General features: G+C 36.1%; 1 protein-coding gene across 21 annotated transcripts in view; it reads right to left on the reverse strand.

Moving 5' to 3' along the window:
* Nucleotides 1–17,050, reverse strand: part of HFM1 (helicase for meiosis 1) — a 147,242-nt gene that overhangs the window by 104,746 nt on the left and 25,446 nt on the right. For 17 of the 21 annotated variants that reach the window (XM_011540852.3, XM_011540857.2, XM_017000490.2 and 14 more), the window contains 7 exons: nucleotides 15,401–15,471; nucleotides 14,593–14,725; nucleotides 13,552–13,703; nucleotides 12,892–12,969; nucleotides 12,514–12,672; nucleotides 10,016–10,216; nucleotides 9,847–9,935 (listed from right to left, as the gene is read on the reverse strand). In XM_011540852.3, coding sequence (XP_011539154.1) covers nucleotides 9,847–9,935; nucleotides 10,016–10,216; nucleotides 12,514–12,672; nucleotides 12,892–12,969; nucleotides 13,552–13,703; nucleotides 14,593–14,725; nucleotides 15,401–15,471 — 883 coding nt within the window. Of the gene's footprint in view, nucleotides 1–9,393; nucleotides 9,429–9,846; nucleotides 9,936–10,015; nucleotides 10,217–12,513; nucleotides 12,673–12,891; nucleotides 12,970–13,547; nucleotides 14,115–14,592; nucleotides 14,726–15,400; nucleotides 15,472–17,050 lie in introns of those variants that run through there. The other 4 variants (NR_165455.1, XM_017000492.1, XM_011540859.3 and 1 more) reach the window with 4 other exon arrangements.

Consider the following 17,050-nt stretch of genomic DNA (forward strand, 5'->3'; position numbering starts at 1 on the left):
GTGAAAAGACAAGAGGAAGTTAAGAAAGTGTGTTGATAATTTGAAAATGAATTCTGGGTACATTAAAAGATTTTGGAAGTTGGTAGGCTTGGTTCTTAAGTATATAAAAACATCTAGTATTTTTCTACTTCCTTGTTGCAGATATGACACTAGGATGAATTATTTTTATGATAACACTCATGACTTTTTTTAAGGATTCACAATGGAATGAAGATAAGGCAAGAGGAAAGGCATGTTACTATTAAGTACAAACTCTGCTACCCACTGTTAGGTATCTTAGAAATGTCGCTTATTTAATTATCATAGAAACATGGTGAGATGATTGATTCTCACATATACAATATTGATTAAGAAATTGAAGTTGAAAGAAGTTAAGTAATATGTCCAATAGTACACAGCTAGTAAAAGTAGCAGCACTGTAATTCAAATCTGAGTCTCTAACTCCGGTATGTTCCTGAAAAAAAAAAAAAAACAGGAATAAAAAGAGATAAAGAAAAAATAAGGGGCAAAGACTGAAGAAAGAAGAGAGGAGAGTTAAAGGAGAGAGAAACTTTCCATTAGTAACTAGGTAAGAGTGGGAAATGAGAAAAGGAATTAAGATATATGTTTGCAAAAAAATGATTATCTGAAACAAAATTAGCTAATTTGTTCACAACAGAAAAAAGGGAGAGGATAAATTGTAAATTAGTTTTAAAGGAACTTGTAGTGTATTTCAATTCCCTACTCATATAGATAAGTTCAGCTCAAAAATGTTTATTATGTATTCACCTTAGGACACCAGATATTTCTATGTGAATCATGCTGCCATTGCACAAAGAATTCCGTAAGTCTCTCAAAACTGCCTTCAGAGTTAAGTTTATGAGCAAGCAAACAAGCCTCATTACTTGATCCCCACATCTTGTTTCTGACAAAAAGTGATATGAACCAACTTGATCATCTAGTTTATTCACCCAACAAGTAGAAAGCTTCAAATTGTTTAGACCTACTTACAGCCTCTCTACCCTATACCTACACGTTTTAAAAAAATCCCAGTTTACCTTTATTCTATTACTAGTTTTATAATGAACTGGTCAATGTTTTTGAAACCCCATCTTTGTTTTAAAAACTTAGAAAATTAATAAGAGGTGGGTGGAGCCAAGATGGACAAATAGGAACAGCTCCAGTCTACACCTCCCAGCGTGAGCAATGCAGAAGACAGGTGATTTCTGCATTTCCAACTGAGGTACTGGGTTCATCTCACTGGGGAGTGTCAGATAGCGGGTGCAGTGCACCGAGCTTGAGCTGAAGCAGGGCGAGGCATCGCCTCACCCGGGAAATGCAAGGGGTCAGGGAATTCCCTTTCCTAGTCAAAGAAAGGGGTGACAGACAGCACCTGGAAAATCGGGTCACTCCCACCCTAAAACTGCACTTTCCTAATGGTCTTAGCAAACGGCACACCAGGAGATTATATCCTGCGCCTGGCTTGGAGGGTCCTACACCCACAGAGCCTCGCTCATTGCTAGCACAGCAGTCTGAGATCAAACTGCAAGGCGGCAGTGAGGCTGGGGGAGGGGCACCCGCCATTGCCGAGGCTTGAGTAGGTAAACAAAGCAGCCAGGAAGCTCGAACTGGGTGGAGCGCACCGCAGCTCAAGGAGGGCTCCCTGCCTCTGTAGACTCCACCTCTGGGGGCAGGGCATAGCCAAACAAAAGGCAGCAGAAACCTCTGCAGACTTAAATGTCCCTGTCTGACACATTGGAAGACAGTAGTGGTTCTCCCAGCACGCAGCTTGAGATCTGAGAACGGACAGACTACCTCCACAAGTGGGTCCCTGACCCCCAAGCCTAACTGAGAGGCACCGACCAGTAGGGGCGGACTGACACCTCACACAGCTGGGTACTCCTCTGAGACAAAACTTCCAGAGGAACAATCAGGCAGCAGCATTTGCGGTTCACCAATATCCGCTGTTCTGCAGCCACCGCTGCTGATACCCAGGCAAACAGGGTCTGGAGTGGACCTCCAGTAAACTCCAACAGACCTGCAGCTGAGGGTCCTGACTGTTAGAAGGAAAACTAACAAACAGAAAGGACATCCACACCAAAAACCCACCTGTACGTCACCATCATCAAAGACCAAAGGTAGATAAAACCATAAAGATGGGGAAAAAACAGAGCAGAAAAACCGGAAACTCTAAAAATCAGAGTGCCTATCCTCCTCCAAAGGAACACAGCTCCTCACCAGCAATGGAACACAGCTGGACGGAGAATGACTGACGAGTTGAGAGAGGAAGGCTTCAGAAGATCAAACTACTCCAAGCTAAAGGAGGAAGTTTGAACCCATGGCAAAGAAGTTAAAAACCTTGAAAAAAAATTAGACGAATGGCTAACTAGAATAACCAACGCAGAGAAGTCCTTAAAGGACCTGATGGAGCTGAAAACCACAGCACGAGAACTATGTGACGAATGCACAAGCCTCAGTAGCCGATGTGATCAACTGGAAGAAAGGGTATCAGGGATGGAAGATCAAATAAATGAAATGAAGTGAGAAGTTTAGAGAAAAAAGAATAAAAAGAAACAAACAAAGCCTCCAAGAAATATGGGACTATGTGAAAAGACCAAAACTACATCTCATTGGTGTACCTGAAAGTGACGGGGAGAATGGAACCAAGTTGGAAAACTCTCTGCAGGATATTATCCAGGAGAACTTCTCCAATCTAGCAAGGCAGGCCAACATTCAAATTTAGGAAATACAGAGAACGCCACAAAGATACTCCTCAAGAAGAGCAACTCCAAGACACATAATTGTCAGATTCACCAAAGTTGAAATGAAGGAAAAAATGTTAAGAGTAGCCAGAGAGAAAGGTTGGGTTACCAACAAAGGGAAACCCAACAGACTAACAGCTGATCTCTCGGCAGAAACTCTACAAACCAGAAGAGAGTGGGGGCAAATATTCAACATTCTTAAAGAAACGAATTTTCAACCCAGAATTTCATATCCAGCCAAACTAAGCTTCATAAGTGAAGGAGAAATAAAATCCTTTACAGACAAGCAAATGCTGAGAGATTTTTGTCACCACCAGCCCTGCCCTAAAAGAGCTCCTGAAGGAAGCAATAAACATGGAAAGGAACAACTGGTACCAGCCACTGCAAAAACATGCCAAATTGTAAAGACCATCAAGGCTAGGAAGAAACTGCATCCACTAACGAGCAAAATAACCAGCTAACATCATAATGACAGGATCAAATTCACACATAACAATATTAACCTTAACTGTAAATGGGCTAAATGCTCCAATTAAAAGACACAGACTGGCAAACTGGAGAAAGAGTTAAGACCCATCAGTGTGCTGTATTCAGGAAACCCATCTCACGTGCAGAGACACATATATGCTCAAAATAAAGGGATGGAGGAAGATCTACCAAGCAAATGGAAAACAAAAAAAGGCAGGGGTTGCAATCCTAGTCTCTGATAAAACAGACTTTAAGCCAACAAAGATCAAAAGAGGCAAAGAAGACTATTACATAATGGTAAACGGATCAATTCAACAAGAAGAGCTAACTATCCTAAATATATATGCACCCAATACAGGAGCACCCAGATTCATAAAGCAAGTCCTTAGAGACCTACAAAGAGACTTAGACTCCCACACAATAATAATGGGAGACTTTCACACCCCACTGTCAACATTAGACAGATCAACGAGACAGAACATTAACAAGGATATCCAGGAACTGAACTCAGCACTGCACCAACCAGACCTAATAGACATCTACAGAACTCTCCACCCCAAATAAACAGAATATACATTCTTTTCAGCACCACACCACACCTATTCCAAAATTGACCACATAGTTGGAAGTAAAGCACTCCTCAGCAAATGTAAAAGAACAGAAATTATAACAAACTGTCTCTCAGACCACAGTGCAATCACACTAGAACTCAGGATTAAGAAACTCACTCAAAACCGCTCAACTACATGGAAACTGAACAACCTGAATGACTACTGGGTACATAATGAAATGAAGGCAGAAATAAAGATGTTCTTTGAAACCAATGAGAACAAAGACACAATGTAACAATCTCTGGGACACATTCAAAACAGTGTGTAGAGGGAAATTTATAGCACTAAATGCCCACAAGAGAAAGCAGGAAAGATAAAAATTGACACCCTAACATCACAATTAAAAGAACTAGGGAAGCAAGAGCAAACACATTCAAAAGCTAGCAGAAGGCAAGAAATAACTAAGATCAGAGCAGAACTGAAGGAAATAGAGACACAAAAAACCCTTCCAAAAATCAATGAATCCAGGAACTGGTTTTTTGAGAAGATCAACAAAATTGATAAACCACTAGCAAGACTAATAAAGAAGAAAAGAGAGAAGAATCAAATAGACGCAATAAAAAATGATAAAGGGGATATAGCCACCGATCCCACAGAAATACAAACTACCATCAGAGAATACTATAAACACCTCTACGCAAATAAACTAGAAAATCTAGAAGAAATGGATAAATTCCTCAACACATACACCCTCCCAAGACTAACCCAGGAGAAGTTGAATCTCTGAATAGACCAATAACAGGCTCTAAAATTGAGGCAATAATTAATAGCTTACCAACCAAAAAAAGTCCAGGACCAGATGGATTCACAGCCGAATTCTACCAGAGGTACAAGGAGGAGTTGTTACCATTCCTTCTGAAACTATTCCAATCAATAGAAAAAGAGGGAATCCTCCCTAACGCATTTTATGAGGCCAGCATCATCCTGATACCAAAGCCTGGCAGAGACACAACAAAAAAAGAGAATTTTAGACCAATATCCCTGATGAACATCGATGCAAAAATCCTCAATAAAATACTGGCAAACCAAATCCAGCAGCACATCAAAAAGCTTGTCCACCATGATCAAGTGGGCTTCATCCCTGGGATGCAAGCCTGGTTCAACACACGAAAATCAATACACGTAATCCAGCATATAAACAGAACCAAAGACAAAAACCACATGATTATCTCAATAGATGCAGAAAAGGCCTTTGACAAAATTCAACAACCCTTCATGCTAAAAACTCTCAATAAATTAGGTATTGATTGGATGTATCTCAAAATAATAAGAGCTATCTATGACAAACCCACAGCCAATATCATACTGAATGGGCAAAAACTGGAAGCATTCCCTTTGAAAACTGGCACAAGATAGGGATGCCCTCTCTCACCACTCCTATTCAACATAGTGTTGGAAGTTCTGGCCAGGGCAATCAGGCAGGAGAAAGAAATAAAGGGTATTCAATTAGGAAAAGAGGAAGTCAAATTGTCCCTGTTTGCAGAAGACATGATTGTATATTTAGAAAACCCCATGTTCCCAGCGCAAAATCTCCTTAAGCTGATAGATAACTTCAGCAAAGTCTCAGGATACAAAATCAATGTACAAAAATCACAAGCATTCTTATACACCAATAACAGACAAACAGAGAGCCAAATCATGAGTGAACTCCCATTCACAATTGCTTCAAAGAGAATAAAATACTTAGGAATCCAACTTACAAGGGATGTGAAGGACCTCTTCAAGGAGAACTACAAACCACTGCTCAAGGAAATAAAAGAGGATACAAACAAATGGAAGAACATTCCATGCTCATGGGTAGGAAGAATCAATATCCTGAAAATGGCCATACTGCCCAAGGTAATTTATAGATTCAATGCCATCCCCATCAAGCTACAAATGACTTTCTTCACAGAATTGGAAAAAACTACTTTAAAGTTCACATGGAACCGAAAAAGAGCCCGCATTGCCAAGTCAATTCTATGCCAAAAGAACAAAGCTGGAGGCATCACACTACCTGACTTCAAACTATACTACAAGGCTACAGTAACCAAAACAGCATGATACTGGTACCAAAACAGAGATATAGACCAATGGAACAGAACAGAGCCCTCAGAAATAATGCCACATATCTACAACCATCTGATCTTTGACAAACCTGAGAAAAACAAGAAATGGGGAAAGGATTCCCTATTTAATAAATGGTGCTGGGAAAACTGGCTAGCCATATATAGAAAGCTGAAACTGGATCCCTTCCTTACACCTTATACAAAAATTAATTCAAGATGCATTAAAGACTTAAATGTTAGACCTAAAACCATAAAAACCCTAGAAGAAAACCTAGGCAATACCATTCAGGACATAGGCATGGGCAAGGACTTCATGTCTAAAACATTAAAAGCAATGGCAACAAAAGCCAAACTTGACAAATGGGATCTAATTAAAGAGCTTCTGTACAGCAAAAGAAACTACCATCAGAGTGAATAGGCAGCCTACAGAATGGGAGAAAATTTTTGCCATCTACTCATCTGACAAAGGGCTAATATCCAGAATCTACAATGAACTCAAACAAATTTACAAGAAAAAAACAAACAACCCCAACAAAAAGTGGGTGAAGGATATGAACAGACACTTCTCAAAAGAAGACATTTATGCAGCCAACAGACACATGAAAAAATGCTCATCATCACTGGCCATCAGAGAAATGAAAATCAAAACCACAATGAGATACCATCTCACACCAGTTAGAATGGTGATCATTAAAAAGTCAGGAAACAACAGGTGCTGGAGAGGATGTGGAGAAATAGGAACACTTTTACACTGTTGGTGGGACTGTAAACTAGTTCAACCATTGTGGAAGTCATTGTGGCGATTCCTCGGGGATCTACAACTAGAAATACCATTTGATCCAGCCATCCCATTACTGGGTATATACCCAAAGGATTACAAATCATGCTGCTATAAAGGCACATGTGCACGTGTGTTTATTGAGGCACTATTCACAATAGCAAAGACTTGGAACCAACCCAAATGTCCAACAATGATAGACTGGATTAAGAAAATGTGGCACATGTACACCATGGAATACTATGCAGCCATAAAAAATGATGAGTTATGTCCTTTGTAGGGACATGGATGAACCTGGAAACTATCATTCGCAGCAAACTATCGCAAGGACAAAAAACCAAACACCACATGTTCTCATTCATAGGTGGGAATTGAACAATGAGAACACATGGACACAGGAAGGGGAACATCACACACTGGGGCCTGTTGTGGGTGGGGTGAATGGGGAGGGATAGCATTAGGAGATATCCCTAATGTTAAATGATGAGTTAATGGGTGCAGCACACCAACACCACATGTATACATATGTAACAAAACTGCACGTTGTGCACATGTACCCTAAAACTTAAAGTATAATAAAAAAAAGAAAATTCATAAGAATGCTATAAAACTACATGCAGTTGGTATGAAAATTATTAATCATTTTTTGATGGTATTCTTATTAGCAATAATTTCACTTTCTCCCTTTCTTTCTACCTCTCAGACTTCATCTACTTTTTGACTGTGAGCTCTTTGTTGGTTTTTCTCATTCTGTCTTGCTCTCTACTGTTTCTTATTGCTTAATCTTGCTTTGTTGACGTGTATTATAAAAGAACTACTCTACATGCTTCACACCCTAGAGATTTTTTTTCATATGGTAGTAACTAAGAAGATCAAGTTAAATCCTTTAAATGGAAGGAAAAGTGTCAAAATAGTATCTAGAGGGTGAATAAGTGGCTATGTTTGTAATTCTTTAATAGACTATCTTTATAGTCTACCTTTTTAGTGGATTAAAAAAAAACAAAGAATGTAAAGAAGACTAAATTGGCTCCTCTAGGCTTGCTACATATCTTTGGTTGACAAGCAACCAGAGGTGGTGGCAAAGGAACAGACTGGTAATTGGAAAGCTGATCTGACCCAAAGCGGAGAGAAGTATATTCCCCCACCATACAAAATTAGGCAGAAAAAATAAGTATCTGCTCATATCCACATGTCCAATTTTAGTCTGAGGTCTACCACTAAACATATTTACTGATTTCCAGAAGTTATTAACAATAATAATAAGTTAATGTTCATTACATAGTAATCATGTGCTAGCACTCTGCTGAGACCTTCTGCTATAATTTGGATGCTGTCCATTTAAATCTCATGCTAAATTGTAATCTCCAGTATTGAAGGTGAGGCCTGGTAGGAGGTGAATGGATCATGGGGGCAGATCCTCATGGCTTGGTGCTATTCTTACAATAGTGAGTGAGTTTTTGTGACATCTAGTTGCTTAAAAGTGTATGGTACCCCCCGACCCCTACTCCTGCTCTCACCATGTGATACACCAACTCATCCTTTGCCTTCTGCCATGACTGTAAGCAGCCCAAGGCCTCACCAGAAGCCGAGCAGATGTGGTGCCATGTTTCTTGTACAGCCTGCAAAACTGTGAGCCAATTAAACCTCCCTTCTTTATAAATTACCCAGGCTCAGAAATTTCTTTATATCAATGCAAGAATGACCTAATACACCTGCTAAGATTGAGTGGTAAGCAGGATGAACATGAGTCCCCCTTTCCTCAAGAAGTTGATAATCTAATTAATAGAAAAGATATTAAAATAACTATTAAACAAAAGGATATTATAATTATAGTAAGTGCTATGAAATCAAGTACAGGTTGCTTATAAAAGTAAATACAGGGAAACTGATGGCTATGGAAAACTGATATTAAAGTTTAGACATGAAGGATAAATAGGAGTTAGGTGAAAACCATTCCAGTAAAAGCAAGCACCATGCAAGACAATGCTGTACAGAGTAACAGTTTGGTGTATTCACAGAACACAGAGGCTAATACAGCTTGACCGTGATGATTAAAGGGGGAGAATGGTCATGAAAAGTCTGGAGAATTGGCTAGGCATCACATTACATGGGCTACTGCAGGCTACACTAAGGATTTAGCATTTAATCCCCAGAACAATAAGAATCTATTAAAGGGTTTTAGGCAGGAAACTGCCATTTAGATTTGCAATCTTACACAATCTATGCTATGTAGAGAATAAAGCTGGATAAGAGAGTGTGTGTGTAGTGATTAAAGAAAAGGATACAGCCTAGGCAAGAGATTACTAGTGACTTGAATTAGGGAAGTGGCAGTGTTGATGGAGACAAAATGACATATTTGAGATATATTTAGAAGTAAGAATAAACAGGACTTCGTAATTGATTGTGGGGTATAAGGTGAAGAAGATATCAATCATAGTTTTCTGCTATGAGTAACTAAGGAGATAATGTATAATTAAGATGGGGAACACTGGAGAAGGAGCTGGTCTGAGAGCAAGAACCAAGGTTCTATTTGGTACATAGTGAGTTTGAGATAACTGTTGGTAGACATACAACTGGATTCAGTTACACAGATGGACTATAGGCCTGGAGCTCAGTAAGGAAGTCTGGGCCGAAGGCATAAATGTGGGAATTCATAGACATGCATAAATATTATCTGAACTTCATGTGAGTACTTACAAACACCTAAGAGTGTGGCATTAGAAAGAATGAACCTCAGGTATACTCACTCGAATGTCAACATTTAAGAGTTGGGTAGAAGAGGTGAAAAGGGGACTGAGAACGAACAGCCTGCAAAGGAGGAAGAAAATCAGTAGAAATGATCATGGAAGCACAGAGTCCAGAGTGTTTAAGTAAGGTGGAAGTGGCCAAATATGATAGAGAGTCCTTAAAGATTAATTCGCAAGATCAGCTTTAGTGAAAGACTATAAAAGATGCTGGATTGAAATTAGGTTAAAAAAAATAGATAGTAGTATGGATAATCTTTATCATTCAAGAAATCTGGATCACCCCTGTACGAAGATTCACTATCTCACTTAATCCTCAAAATTATCATTATCCTTATTTTATAGATGAGGACACTGAGGTTTACCCCAAGGTTATGGGACAAGCCTAATTTTCTCATGTCATCTAGATGAGCCCTAAAAGTCCTTCTACTTCCATGAAAAAATAAAATACTATACCTCTGTTTCTGTTCCACAGTCATAATAAATTTAGCATCTTTCACAAGAACAGAAGCAGCCTGTTGCACACCCTTCCTTGTTGCACAAAACTGAAAATAAATTCATAACGTTTGTATTAATCATGTTAAAAACTGAATATACTAAAAAATAAGCTATCAACAATCCATACCACAAGTGTGGGTTTCTGATCAGAGTACATTTGTATAACACTGGCAATTTTGTAGTTGAGGGTTAAATCAAACTTAAACTCAGTTTGGTTACTACTGCAGGGAAATCCAAGGACCACTTTCTGAAGTTTCACTGGTCTATGGCTCTCATCCATTTTCAGACACACAGCTGGTCTTTCACCATCTGAAAGCCATTCTGCAATCTTTGAAACACAAAAATATGTGCATTAAAATTTTCTTCTAGTAAAGTTTTATTGCTAAAAACAACCCAATTACAAAGCACTTTAAGGTCAAGCTATAAAAGTATTTAATCAAGTATGCTGTCTTTTTCAATATTACATATTCCATTAATATTATTCTGTTGATATAGTGGTCAACACTACCAATAGTAGTATTTCAAGATTATACCCACTTTTCACCATGGTAAACTTCCAATTAATTATTATTATTTTGTTTTATTTTCCTTCATAAGAATCCAAAGAAAAATTATCAATTTTGTCATAGAGGCCAAATTTCTCACTATTATTTTAACTTCTTTGCTATTTTTGAAAACTACGCCTCAAAATGGCTGACATCTCTTTTGTGTTGTCCTAAATATTAGATAAATAGCAGCAAATTAATAGTTGGTTTAGGTTGGCAAGGGTTGACAAGTTTTTAAGCAAACAACAAACACTTGAGAGATGCCAGTGCCAAAAGCAAACTTCAGACTCAAGCTAGATTCTGGAACTGTGGTAAGCAATCCTTATCTTTACATAGCCCAGTTAATAATCAGGCTCCATGCTCTGCTATGAAATTGACTGTTGTTTTGACAGGTAGAAAACATTAAAATAATCTCAAGGTTATCATGAGTAGGGATAAGATCACATAAGAATTTACAGACAGAGGGGAGCAGAAGGCCAAGAATAAAAACCTTAATTTAGGGAAAAACGGAGGAAGAAGATCTGACAAAAGAGACAGAAACAGCATTCACACAAGTAGTGTTTATCACAAAGGGGAAAAGTTTCAAGAATTAGACAGTACTAGTACATAATAATTGCTTACAAATAAGTTAAGAAAAATTTAGTATTCCAATGTGAAAAAAAGGCAAATGACATAACCTGGCAAGTTTTAAAAAAAGAACTCAAAGTAGTTGATAAATATATTTAAAATTTTACCTTAGTAGAAATCAAAGAAGTAAAAAATTTTTAAATGAGATACTACACTCAACAATAAATCCTATAAATATTTAAAAATAATAATAGCAATAATAATTCCATTATTATACTATCCAGTGTTAGGATACAGGAAAATAGCCTCTGGTAGAAGTGTAAATGAATATAACATTTATTGAAAGAAGCACTTCTTTAGAGTTTTATATATCCTTTGATTCAGTTAATTCATTCTAGAAGTTCATCCTAAGGAAATAATCATGGATGTTTCAGATACATTAATTTCACTGTTTACAATAGCAAAAATTGGAAATAACTTAATCTTCCATTGTTATAGTGTTTGATAAATAAATTACAATAAAACCACAAAAATAGTATTGAAGAATATTTAATGATATAAAAATGTTTAAAGGTGAAATGCAGGTCAAAAAAAGAGTATGTACATTATGATTCCTACATGCTTACAAAAAAAAGTATGTACATTATGCTTCCTACATGTGTAAAGATAAACGCTAGGATTTAGTTTTGTTGTTGTAATAAACTTTAAATTTTTCTATATTATTCTTGAAAAATATGAACAAAACAAGTTGTCATTTCAAGAACAAGAAAATGATTAATTGTGCCAAATTAACGATAAAGACAAAATATTCCATTGGAATAGACAATATAGTGGCTATTTGTGAAAACAATTTCTAAGAAGTAGTAGGGGAAAACCAGTATTATAGTAGGCTGAGAAGTAAGTAGGAGTGAGAAAGTAGAGTGAGACTATTATTTTTCAAGACGTTTACTTAAAAATTGAAGAAAAAATTAAGTCATATATTCATTATGGAAAGTATAATAGTGCACATGATTATTTCTTTACATGTCCATGTACCCCATTAACCATGAGATCCTCCTCAAGGACGGAGTCCATATATTTTCACTTTTGCATCTATATTTAGTGCTTACCACAATGCCAAGCATACAGAATTGAGGAGCAAGTGGTAATCATCTAAGCAATTATTTTTATTCTCCACCATACTTTGCTATACAATTAGAGTCAGCTAGTTACAACAACCATCACATATTGTTAGTGAAGTTACTATGAGGCACCTGAAACCCAGGAAACTAAGACTGTTAGATACTAGCAAACGAGATGTCCACATGTCCACAAAAAATGTTTTATTAAACCTGATTAACCAAATTTTATGGCCTTAATACTGTTATATTTATGAGATCTAGCCACAACTTTCTACAACATACTTTCCTATTAAAGGAAAGGACAAAAAAATTCACTTTTCTCTATGATCAAGATGACTAAATATTTCACAAGTCATAAAAAACCTAAGAGCTCAGTTAAAATTGTAACTCACATCCTCAGCATTTGGAATTGTTGCAGATACAGCTACAAATCGCATTGGAATAGCAGTGCTGGTATTTTTTAAAGTCTGAGAAACAGACTGTACAGTTTTCATTCTGCTAACTACAACTTCAAGAGTTGGACCACGATTTTCATCTTTTACAATATGTACCTAAGCAGGAAATCAAGAAAAAATCATTAGCTATAGAATTAAAAATACATTTAATCAATTAAAATATTCAATAATATTAACATTCTTGCTTGAGAAAATGAGCATTTTCCACTTGAAGGGATAAAACAAACATATAGTTTGGTTGCAATGTCTTTTTTCTTTCTGTCTTATTCTAATTATCCTTTTATGTTTATCTCTGAAAGCGAATGCATTCATTACCTCATCAATGAGAAACAGTCGAACCAGCTGAACCAAAGAGTTGTCTCTCCATTTCCTAGTCATGCTATCCCATTTTTCCTAGAGAGAAAAAAAAGCATACAAGTAGTTTAATGTGATAAGGAATTATAATAAATATTAAGATATCAAAAACATTTTTAACATGACGTATTACAAATAATAGGCAATTTTGGTTGATCCCTTAAGAGTATTCTGAAAAATATTTTAAAATTAAAAAATACTTAAAGAATTTTTACAGTCTTAAAGGTATTTTTAAAACTGGGCCCTCAATTGTTTTTACACTGAACCACAAAATATTCAAAGTCCAAGTTTTGTTACCTATTTTTAAATTCTACCAAGGACCTCCCTCTATAAAACATACTACTTAGGTAAAAGAAAAAAGCAATAAATATGATTACAAAGTATCCACAATAACAAACTGCCTATTCTTTGTCAATTTTTCCAATTTGGTCATTTGTCTTTTACTTACTGATTTGTAGGTATTCTGTCTGTACCTTGAATTGTAGTATTTTTTTAATGTTTGTTTGTTTGCATTGTAAATATATGTTTCTAGTTTATATTTTTTAAACTTTTTATCTCAGTAAAGAAAAATAGGTATTTTCTAACAAACTAAAGAAATCATAAAGTATAAATAATACCTACTGGAGTTGTCATAATAATATGGGCATGCTGAATCTCAAATAGATCATCCATTACTGTATCTCCAGTAAGTTCTTTACAATTCAATCCTATTGGTCCAAATTTTTCTTTCCAGTCATCAAAACGCTGACTGCACAAGGCTTTTATTGGTGCCACTGTAACAATATAAAATATTTACTTTGAACATCAGTTCAATTTTAAAATTCTTTTCACAAACTTTGGTTAATAAAGTTAGCATAAAAAATACACATCTACATACTCCTAATATTGATAAATTAAAAATGAACAATATAGGCACATTATTTACAGCAGGGGTGTCCAGTCTTTTGGCTTCCCTGGGCCACACTGGAAGAAGAACTGTATTGAGCCACACATAAAATATGCTAACACTGACGATGACTGATAAGCTAAAGAAAAAAAATTCTCATAATGTTTTACAAACATTACAAATTTGTCGTAAGTTTACAAATTTGTGCTGGGCCGCATTCAAAGCCATCCTGGGCCACATGCAGCCTGCAGGCCACAAGTTAGACAAGCTTGATTTAGAGATATCAAGGTAATAGCCAAAAAGAACTAAAAATAGAAATAGAAATGATTTCTCAGGCAAGTGTAACTAAAAGTGGAGAAAGGTAGGGCAGAAGATTATTGCTTTTCACTATAAGGCCTTTACTGATATTTGATTTTTAATCCATATACATATATTACTTTGATTAAAAAAAATTTTTTAAATACATACCTAAGAAAGGAGAGTAAAAGTTCCTATGCAAATTTCTAGAATTACAAAATATTTGATTTTATTTGTTCATTTTGCCTGTCCTTTAAAAAATAAGCATGTAAAAGTCAAATTCTCAATTCAAATATTACTTTTTATTTATAATTTTGGAAAATGTGTTTTAAATTTAATGACAAATAAGACCAGACTTTACTAGAAATATATAGAAAATCAAGTAATTCCTGAGGCCAGAAACTGAATTTATTTCTTCATTTTGCTTCAATGGTTTTTCATTATTATAATTAGTCATCACTCTTATAATAAATACTTACTGTAAACAATTTTAATATTCAACCATGGCAATGGTACTTCCATTAACAATCTTGTTATAGCTAGTTCAAACACTACAGTTTTTCCAGAACCAGTTGGAGCACAAATCACAAAATTCCTATCTGTGTAAAGAAGCTAAAAAATAAAAAGTAATCAATCATGTAACATATAGACTTTTTCACACACATTCTCAATTTGTTAAAAAAAAAGTCTTAGTAAGAATCTAAGGAATAATAGTTCAAACATTTTTCCTCTAAAGTTATAAAAATTGTAACTTTGCTCCAGAGCCTCCACTCTCGAAAAATAACACTATTAGTATTTTATCATGCTGTTTTATTTGTCAATGTAGACCTAGGAGAAAATCATTCCTGGCTGAGTGCGATGGCTTACACCTGTAATCCCAGCACTTTGGGAAGCCAAGGAAGGCAGATCACTTGAGGTCAGGAGTTCGAGACCAGCCTGGCCAACAGAGCAAAACTCTGTCTCCACTACAAATAGAAAACTTAGCCAGGAGTGGTGTCTCAAGCCTGTAATCCCAGTTACTTGGGTGGCTGAGGCAGGAAAATCGCTTGAACCTGGGAAGCAGAAGTTGCAGTGAGCTGAGATTTCACCACTGCACTCAAATACAAACAAATCCACCTATGAAAATCACATGTATTCATTTACCAAATATTTTCTGAGCTCCTAAATGTGCTAGACATGGAGTGTGGCAGTGCAGACATAAAGATCTAGTAAATCCCAGCTGTCCCAATCTAGTGATCATAACCTAGTGAAAGGTAGAAAAATAAATAAGTAAAATAAAATACTTACATCATCAAAGGCCTTGGACTGTATATAGTTGAAATATGGAAATTCTTTGAAAATACTTCTAAATTTTGCCGCTTACAATAACATTAAGGAGTCAAATATTTCAGAATTTAAAAAATTAGTTACTTTTATTTTAAAACTAAGTTACATTAATATAGATTCTGACAATATTTAATGATGAGGTTTTAACATTTGCTATCTGGCATCTTAGGAAAAGAATTATCATAAATTATTCTAGTCTCCAGTCACACTCCATATTCTGAAAAGAATTTGCAAAGTTCTTATAGGGAAATAAGAGATTATATAAGGGTTATACCTGAGTGCTAAATATGATGGAAGAGATGCAAGTACATAATGGCAAGTAAATCAGAACTACACTTCTAGTTTATCTTTTCCAGAGTAGTGCTTTTTCTTATTTACCTTGACAAGGCCACTTGATTTTTATCTCTTCTTTAATGTACAGAATTTCACTCAACTATTTCATTAAGCATTGATTGTACTTCATTAGCTGATGTGTTTCTGGTTACCTAATACCAAATCTCTTTGTTTTTGATAATTTGGTTGTGTTAAGTGGTGGGTTTAATTATAACTATCAACATACTGGCTTGACAGGAAGAACTTAAATCATCCTTCCCCTGTAAGAAAGTTCAAAAATATTAACAGATATGAAGAATAAACTGTCCCCTCTCCAAGGTGAGGGTCTATTGACAGATTGGGAGATATCTGTATTTACATGGTATTCTTCTTACAATATATCAACTACAGTCATTGAACACTATATACAGAATACATTACTAGATTTAGAAAGCTGTGGGAAGCTATAAATAAAGAAGAAAATGAGTTCCTACAATTGAGACTGTTATAATCTATTAGAAGTTATAAGATGGTTAAGAACATATCTGAGAACACAAGTACACAGTTACTTAAACAACTGGATTTTTATAAAGATATACAAGAACTGATGGATTGCTGTAGTGATCCTGTTTAAACTTACATCATATTACTTCTCTGATCAAATTCCTCCCTTTCTCTCAAAGTGTATGGCTATAAGGCTCCACATGATCGTCTCCCCACTGCCACTCCCTCCCCGCATCAGCCCCTGCCTTTATCTCTCTGACATCATGTCCTACTACTCTTTCTCCCTGACTCATCTCCTCTAGCTATACTGAACTCTGCTGTTCTTCAAAAACATCAGCTACGATCCTGCCATGAGGCCTTCCCTCTGCCTAGACTGTTATTCCTTCCATATTTCCTTGGCTCTTTTCCCTCCATTAAGTGCTTAAATCTGACCTTCTCAAGGTCTACCCTAAGTACTGTTTAATTCTACACCCTGAGCCACAAATCCCAGCAGTCCCAATTTAACCCGCTTACCCTGCTCTACTTTTTTCTTTTCCCATAATAGTCACCACTTTCTAAAAAACTCTGACTTATTTATATGTTATTATAGTTGTTGAGATCTAGCTTCCTCCCCACCCTCATCCCAAGAATGTCATCTCCTCAAAAGCAAGGATTCATTGTCTGTTTTCTTAAGTGACATATCCCAAATACTTAGAACAGTGCCTGACACATAACTCAGTTAATATAGGTTTGCAATTATTACATCAAGCAGTTAATTTATAAATCCTCATTTTACTTTCTGATGTGCAAAGTGTC

The sequence above is a fragment of the Homo sapiens genome, chromosome 1 (genome assembly GCF_000001405.40).
Source record: "Homo sapiens chromosome 1, GRCh38.p14 Primary Assembly".
In the NCBI taxonomy this organism is placed as follows: domain Eukaryota; kingdom Metazoa; phylum Chordata; class Mammalia; order Primates; family Hominidae; genus Homo; species Homo sapiens.